Source organism: Homo sapiens, chromosome 10 (assembly GCF_000001405.40).
Source record: "Homo sapiens chromosome 10, GRCh38.p14 Primary Assembly".
Classification (NCBI taxonomy): domain Eukaryota; kingdom Metazoa; phylum Chordata; class Mammalia; order Primates; family Hominidae; genus Homo; species Homo sapiens.
This window is the reverse complement of record NC_000010.11, coordinates 123,322,530-123,331,478: the sequence shown is the minus strand read 5'-3', so window position 1 is coordinate 123,331,478 and position 8,949 is coordinate 123,322,530. Positions and strand designations below refer to the sequence as shown.

The 8,949-nt window shown below is 42.5% G+C and overlaps 2 annotated features.

Annotated features, from left to right (window-relative positions):
• Nucleotides 4,577-4,626: a silencer, noted in NCBI's record as "silent region_2904". NCBI's record gives its function as "represses an Ori minimal core promoter by ATAC-STARR-seq in GM12878 lymphoblastoid cells {active_cell/tissue: GM12878}" and the evidence as "EXISTENCE:reporter gene assay evidence [ECO:0000049][PMID:35858748]".
• Nucleotides 7,828-7,917: an enhancer, noted in NCBI's record as "active region_4153". NCBI's record gives its function as "activates an Ori minimal core promoter by ATAC-STARR-seq in GM12878 lymphoblastoid cells {active_cell/tissue: GM12878}" and the evidence as "EXISTENCE:reporter gene assay evidence [ECO:0000049][PMID:35858748]".

The window sequence follows — 8,949 nt, the reverse complement described above, 5'->3', positions numbered from 1 at the left end:
GCCAAAGTAGACACAGACCAGTTTTCATTAGACCAGCCAAAAGCTGGAGAACCCTCTTTCAAAAAATTAAACAAGCTCTCAGCCTATTTGCTCCAGTTATAACAATGCCGAGAAGTGTGCTTCCTCTCACTTACAGATAGTACCTGGAGGACACTATGGGGGATCTCTCTAAGTGTTGGGTTTTTGATTGACAAATGTATTCAACGGGAAATTGCTGGTGTGATTTTATCCATTATTAGGAAAATGAAGCAACTGAATTGTGCTCTCTTGTAGCTCCTGTGCCAGTTATAATAGTATCTCTGGTTATTTTATTTTTAATACAGACATTAGAGTATGAGGATCCATTTTTGTCCCTATGGGACAGGAAAGTCAGAAGAAGGCAATCAGAGGAATTAAAGGGTAAGAAGGGGGACTTGTGCATAGAAAGTCATAGAATCTCTATCTTGGGAGGTAGCTCAAGGCTCATCTGGTCTACCATTTGGTCATAGTTCAGCTTTCTATAGTCATTAAGAAGCAAATCAACCCTCCCTTCCAAGAGCATTCCTTCATGTACTTGAAACAAATAATTGTGCTTAACTTCCCCAAATCTTCTCCAAACTTAACACCCTTAGTGTTTCTAGGTACTCAGACTCATTACCTTCCCTTCATTTCCTCCTGGACATGCCTATCCCTCATCATCCCACCTAAAATATGGACACTGGGCTTAACTGTGGGAAAGGGTAGCCTAGATGCCTCTAATAGCCCCTGTCAAAGCCTGAAGAGTCAACAATAGGAGGATGCTTTTGACTCCTCCACTTAACGAGGAAGATTCAACAAGACAATGCAGGAAACAAAAGTCCTTCTGTGTCTTAGGACGAGCTCCCAAGTCTACAGGACTCAGGAGTGGAAGCTCCTTCCTAGTTGTCTCATGTGCTCCTATCTGTGAGGTATCACAACAAGCCCACAAGCCTGGGGGTTTAGCTTCTAACAGCCCTGCCCACTCTTCCCTTAGTGAATTTAGGGATGGCATCCAAGGCCCCTGAACCAGTCCCACGTCTGGGCTCTTAGAGAGGCTGGACTCCCAGGATTCCCAGTGGAGAAGGGACAACCGCAGAGTTCTTGCCAGCAGGGCTCAAGAACCCTTACACTTATGGAGTCTGGAGACTAAACGAAAGCTATCATCCCAGGAAGAATTTGATGTTCAAAGGGTGTCCTTGGGCTAGAAGTTGGGACCCCCATCCCCTGGCAGGACAAGATGACTCTAGGGGCCTGAGGTCCCTTGCAGCTTACATACCTCAGGGAAAGGGGAGTCCTGATGGGATGAAATGCTTTCTCCAAGTCTACCTGGCATTTAGATGACAATGTGGAGGATGAAACCTTTCCACCTTTGGCATGACAATTTAATTTTTTTAATAAAAATTTAAAGTCAAATGCAAAATCTTAACTCTTAAAAGCATTCTGTAAAGGTGATTCTTACAGAGTCTGCCCCAGGCAGAGCCCTGCATATTTTTTCAAAGCAAGTTCCTTCGGTCTCAACTTTTTGAAGGAGTTTATTACAGTATAAAGAGCCTGGGTTTCAAACAAAACAGACCCTGGGCATGAAACCTGGCCTTACTACTTACTTGGCTGTGTGACCCCAGGCAAGTTATTCGAGCCTCTGAGCCATAATTCTGTCACCAGTAAAATGGGTGTAGCACTCTGGGCCTCACAGAGATGTAGTGAGAAGTAAATGAGATGCTTCTTGTGAAGCAACTTAGCAGGACTGGCCCTCAATATCAGGCATGATTACTTTGGAATCAATTTGATTATTTTTGTTAAATCAAATTTTACCCCTTAGGTTTTCAGATTACTTGGCAATTGGGTCATCTAAAAGAGGTGTATAAAACACCTGATAATTTTTATATTTCAGAGCGAGGAGTTACACTCTTACCATTGTGTAGACAAAAACGTCCTGGGTAAAATTTCTGACCTTAGCACCCTCTTGCCAAGCTTCCAAGCACCCCTGTCATCTCCCCTCCCCTAGCTGCATTCCTATACCTCCTTCTCTTGGCTGACAGCTTGTTCTGAGCAAGTCTTGCCTCCTTCACTATCAATCCCCTCAAGCCTGGCCCCCTGCAGCTTTCAAGGTCAATAAGTATTGCCCTCCTGATCACCCAGGTCAGCTCCCCTTTCCAATGAGGAGAAGGAAGGAAATCCACATCATGCAACCAGGGCTGGAGATTACACCCTGCTCAGTCCAGGTCATTCCCCTTCCATTCCATGAACGCCTTAATGTCCCCTAAGAGCAGATCTGCTGAGAACCTTCCAAGCAGAGGGTCTGGCCTGTACAAAGTCCCTGCGTTGGGTGGAGACAGCAGCTTTAAGGAGAGAGGCTCAGGGGTCTGAGGGAAGATTTGAACTTAGGTCTTGGTCTCATACTCTCTATTCTTGGGTTCCATTACCTCCTCAAAATGAAAGACTTGGCTTTATTTATACCACCCAAGTCCTCAAGAATGAGGCAATCCATCCCCCATGTGATGCACAGTTTTGACACATTAAACCTGTATGCCCATAAATGCAAACATGTCACACATTATCATCAAGGAGCCAAGGGGGACACAGCCGGGGAGACATCCTAGCATGCTCTAGTTCTGTTGTGATTCATTAGGTTGATCATGCTTAATTACAGCTTTCTACCTTCAACCAGAGAGTCCACTACCTGAAAAAAGTGTTTCAGGTCTGATTCATGAAATTTAACATGTGTGTGAAAAACAAATAGGCTTTCGCCTCCAGGAGCTGGTTAGCAAGGCAAAAGCTCTTGACTTCACAGATCTTCATTTCTAACAGTCTGTCAACATCAGGAAGACGATCTGAATTTTCCCTTTTATGTGGCCGGTCTGAAGATACATGGGGAGGGCTTCAGAGCCAGAGTCTTGGCTCCTAACACCAGCTTTGCTGCTGGTGAGCAGGAGGCCAAGAAAATCTAGTAACTTCTCTGAGCCTGTTTCCTAATCTCTAAAACAAAGATCACCCTTCGCCTTTCTTCTACAACCTTAGAAGATCAATCACTCCTCACTTCCCTGATCCTCCAATCCAACTCCCCTTCCCAAAAAGGAGAAAGAAAGAAATCTAGGCTGGCATGACACAGATGATGGTCTGGTGGCGGCTGCGGGACTCGGATCCATGTGTGGAACGTGCCCAGAAAGGGGGCCTGGGAACATAGTAAGCCCTAGGCATAAGGAAGCCTTCACTGTCTCCATGGTTTTTATTGTGTCACATGCCCTTGGCCTCAGCCTCTTATTTGCAGGATACATTTGCAAAGCTGCCCAGGAGCAGCGGCCATCTTTTCCAGACATTTTTCAGCAGGAGAAAGTTCCTGCCTTTGGAGCAGAGTCCTGGTAATGATTCAGACACTGTTCTCCCCTAAACAGATTGCAAATGTTTCTTCAATGGAAAAGAGGATACACTGTAAAATGTAATGTTTCCCTAAGGGTTTGGGGATTTTCTTTCTTACAGTCAATCATGTTTTTAAGCATTTGGGAAGCGAATATAATGCATCTTTTTTTTCTTAATCATGACTAAGTTCCCCTCCAGATGGAAAAATTCTAGGTTTTTAAATTAAGACCATCTAAACTGCCAGCTTTTCAAGGATTCCTTGGGTTTTAGAGCTGAAAAGTGCCTTGTGAGCCACTTTACTCAATGCCTTGACCTTCAGACCAAAAGAGCCAGGGCCCAGAAGGTGCAATGACCTACCCAAGGTCACACAACAGGTCAGGGACAAAGCTGAGATAAATCACAGACCTCTGGATCCACAATCAACTGTGTTTCTTTCTGTGTTGTGCTGCCAGAAAAAGTACCATGGGGTTGAAAGTGAAATTAGGTTTCTTTCTGAAGTAAGTGCATCACCTATAACTGGCTGCAGCTGGACTTTACCAGAAGGGGAGGGTATATTTGCAGTGGTCTGACTTAATATACGGCCTATGTGTCACTCAGGGAAGGGGTGCCTGGAGAAATCCCAAATGCCTCTGTGCCACTGAAACAAGAGTTTCATAAGATGCCAAAGTGACACCAACCCCAGGAGTGAAATATACATATATACTTACCAGATTCAGCAAATAGTGCACAGAACACAACTATACTAAAAGAAGATATTTATTGCTTATCTGAAATTCAGATTTAACATTCTATATTTTCTATGGTAACTTTAACCAAATAGAGAGGTTTTTCTTTTTAATACAACATTCAAACGTAAGCCTCCAATTGAAGCCACAAGAACAGACCCTTCACATTCCAGGTGTCACTTGCTTCTCATGTGGGCAATACACTTCCTGTAATTCTTGGTAGGAATTTAATTATTTAATCAAGGTTAAAGATCCTCCAAAGTGACAAGAAGAGTCTGGCTAACATAAAATATAAGAATCCATCAAGTAACTTAAATTTAAACTTCAGGTTTCTACCTCAATTCAATTAAAAATAATTTATAGAGCATCTAACATTTGTGAAAACAAGCTCTCTAGTTTTCCTCTTCTCAATTAAACTTCTTGAAGGACATGTTGTCTACACTGGCTCTATACTTCTTCATCTTCCATTCAATACTCAAGACACCATAATTTGGTTTCTATTATTACACAACTGAAACCATTCATTCTTGCTAAGTTGTACAATGACCTAATACAGTCTATTCTCATTATTTGCAGTAGTTATGTTCTATGAAGTTGCCACATTAGTGAACACTGAACCATTGCTCCTACAGGAAATACAGGGTTAGGTTCCTGCCAGCCTCTGGGCACAACATTTTCAAAACCCAGTAAATGCTGACCTTGGTTTATGCGTGTCTCTGTTTAAAGATACCCATTTAACATATATTGATTATTCATGAACATTGAATTCACAGTGAACAGCACTATAACTCATGCCCGAATGAAACTTACCTAACAAGTATTTTTTCAAAAGGCACATCATAGCCTCCTGTGCATAGAAACACTACACAGCACTTCAGCACTACACTTGAAGTCCCTTTTAAACAGCAAAATCACCAGCAAAATGAACAGAAATGTGAAGAATGTGACACTGAATAGACTCAAGGACACTGGTTCACAATATGAAAGCAGAGGCAGGAAGGCAGAGCATCACTGTGTTCAGCCTCAGCTGGAAACGTGCACGTCAAGTGACTCAAATTTTTCATCACTCTACACATGTCCACAAATGATCATGAAAGCTCCATGAGTACTGATTATAAATACATTTTAGTGAGTGGGTTGAATTTGCAGATACAGATTCTGCAAATAATGAGGATCAACTGTAATTTCCAAATCTGGCAGATTTTTTCAGAGCTAATCCTGAGGGGACTCTGGATCACATTTGCTTTGCTGATCTCTTCCCTCTTGAAACTCCTCACTCCTTTAGCTTCTGGTGCCCTCTGCCCTCCTGGAATGTATACTCTGATATTCCTCCTCCACCTCTTATGTGAACTCTTCTTGCCCCTAGGTACCTTTGAAGTGTTGCTATTCGCCAACATTTAAGAGAATAGTGACCCTGGGCCACGGAACTGAGCCAGAGGACTAAGAACTTAGACACAGTTCATTGAGCTGAGGGAGGTTGAGTTTCTCTTGGAACTATCCCTGTGATGCAGTGGGGTCAACCACAAAAGGGTGATGGTATATGTAGTCATTATATCTTTCTAGGCTCCTCTTGTCTGTGACAGTTTCTCAGACTTTCCTTGTTCTTGGTGACCTTAACAGCATCTAGTGTGGATAACTTCTCAGGGCTAGAGAGCTCCAAACCCAGTTCACACTGTTGCAGAACCAGGAGCAGAGAGTCACTGAACCAGGAATAAGAGAAACCAAAACTTGGTAAAACCTGGGCTTAGTTTCAGGACCTAGATGGCCTGACTTCATGGCAGATGATTTGGGTGAATTGGCAGAGGCATTGAGGACAGCATGAGATATGAAGGTAGATGGGTGGTTTGGGGGGTCTGCATGTCCCTCTCAAGGACAGACAGGAGGGAAGCAAAATCATGATAGTAGTAATTAACATTTATGTGGCACTTCATATGTGCCACTACTTCACATGGCCTGTCTAGGGGATGATGATGATGACAGTAATGTGGCCACACATACAGAGCACCCACAATGGCCCAGGCACATGTTACGCACATTCCACAGCCCTTTGAAGCCACTTCACAGAGGAAGAAGCCAAGAATTGAAGAGGTTGGGTAACTTGCCCCAAACCTCCCATCATGCAAAAGCCAGAGCTGGAATTTGAGCTCAGCCATCTAACTCAAGAGCCTAAACTGTGACCTGATACTTCCTCCCTTGTGCCAGGATCCTTGCCCTGTGACACAAATTTCCCAGAACTTGGCAGACACCTGAGGCAAAGAGAAGACAAGATCAGGAACCGGAGTCCCTGGAAAATAAAGTAAAAATTTAGTTACTAGAATCAACTATCTGGTCAGTACAGAGCCAGCAGCAAAGCTGAGCTGGGGCAGAGCCCTAGAGATGGGATCCATGTACCAGGAGTGAGGTGGGCTGCTCAGGGCCTGGGCAGGAGCTCTAAGAAGGCGGCACTGTCCCTGGCTCCTCTGTCCTCCTGCTCAGCCATCCTCAGCATGTGCCTCTCATCACCACTCTTGTCACCACAGATCGCCGAGCAGCTGCTCCACCTCCAGCCTTACATCTATATCCTGGATGGGAAGAAGGGCAACACCAACATTAAATGGCAAAAAATTTCCCCTAACCCCCCAAAAAGGCTTCTACTCACATTTCACTGATAGAATACAGTCACTCCAGCTCTAAGACAGGATAAAATATGTAGAAGCTTTTTAGGACGCCACATAGCCAGCCCAAAGAAAATTGAGGCTTTGTTAGCAAAAGAGAAAGAGAAAATGGATGTAAGTGCTACAGCTTGGGATTATTTCCCATCTTGAGTCCAAACTGGTCCTAGAGGCAGGGGCAAAGGCTTAGTCTGCACACAGCGTCGGGTGTATGGTGTCAGATGCCTCGCTTCCCATTGGCTAGCAAATGTGAAGGCTGAATGTGACGGTCCCTGTCAAATGCTACACACAGTGCCTGGCACGTGTGAGCACTCAAAAATAGGTAGGTATTGTCACTAATTTTTAAAACATTATTATTAACTAAAATCCATATGTTATTGTGATGTCCCTAGTTTTTAGCTCATGTCCTTTTTCTGTTGTAGGATCCCATCTGGAATCCCACATTGCATGTAGTCTTCATATCTTTTAGGCTCCTCTTGCCTGCGACAATTTCTCAGACACTCCTTGTTCTTGGTGACCTTAACAGTACTGAGGAGTGCCAGACCTGTATTGTAGAATGTCTCTCAGTCTGGACTGGCCTGGTGTTTATCTCATGATTAGAAACTGGAGTTGTGTGTTTTCAGGGGGAAGACCACAGAGGTAAAGTGTCATTTTCCTCACATCATATCAAGAGTTCACATCATCACTGTGACACCACTGTTGATGTCAACCTTGATCACTTTGCAGAGGTCGTGTTTGTCAGGTGTCTCCACTGGCCAGTGACTCTTTCTTCCCCCTTTCCATACCGTACCCTTTGGAAGGAAGTCACTATGTGCAGCCCCCTCACACTTCTGATATTTGCATTTTCTTCCCCAAGTATTTATTCTGTCATTGATTTGTATCAGTATAGACTTGTGGATATGTATTTTTTACTTTAGGTTTTAATAGAATTCTATATTATTTATTTTATTGCCCACGTAGTTCCAGCTATGGCCATTGGGAGCTTTTTCAGTTTCCTCCCACATCCCTTTGACACATTTTCATCACTGTGGGTTTGAGGTGGGCGGGTATTGGTTTGTTTTAGCACAACCTTACTTGGTGGCATCATTACTTTTTATTAAGTGATCTTGCTATAGAAGTTGGAAGGGTTTTTCTTCCACCTCCAGTCACTGCACCTTTTGCAGAGAGGCTCACAACCTCTGTGTTCTGTAGAAGACACTGTGAGGAAGGCATGGGGGAGAATTTGCTGTTTTCAGTAGAAAATAAGTGGTGGTTACTAATTACAGTGACTTTGTACTTTGGATCTGGGTTTGTTGCACCTTTATAGTAAGATACAAACTGCTTAAGAAATAAGAATGTTTGTATCTGACTTCAAATTAACCAAAACAGCTTGGTATTGAGATAAAAAGAGATACAGAAATCAGTGAAATAGAATAGAGAATCCAGAACTAAAGCCACATACATACAACCCACTGATCTTTGACAATGTTGACAAAAATATATACTGGGGAAAGAATATCCTATTCAATAAATGGTCCTGGGAAAATTGGCTGGCCATATGCAGAAGAATGAAATTGAACCCCTATCTGTCACAATATATAAAAAGTAACTCAAGATGGATTAAAGATTTAACTACAAGACCTGAAACTATAAAAGTCCTGCAAGAAACCCTAGGAAAACTCTCTGGACATTGGCCTCAGCAAGGAATTTATGACTAAGGCCTCAAAAGCAAGCAACAAAAACAAAAATAAACAAATATGACTTAATTAAACTAAAAAGCTTTTGCACAGCAAAAAGAAACAGTCAATTGAGTGAACAAACGGCCTGCAGAACAGGAGAAAACATTTGCAAACTATGCATCTGACAAACGACTAATATCCAGAATCTATAAGGAACTCAAACAACTCAATAAGAAAAAAACAAATGACCCCATTAAAAAGTAGGCAGAGGACATGAACAGACATTTTTCAAAAGAAGACATATAAGCAGCCAACAAACATATTTTAAAAATGCTCAACATCACTAATTATCAGAGAAATGCACATTAAAATCACAATAAGATGCCATCTCACACCAGTCAAAATGGCTATTACTAAAAAGTCAAAAAACAACAGATGTTAGTGTGCATGCAAAGAAAATGGAATGCGTATACACTTTTGATTGGAATGTAAATTAGTACAACCTCTATGGAAAACAGTATGGAGATTTCTCAAAGATCTAAAAATAGACTTATCATTTGA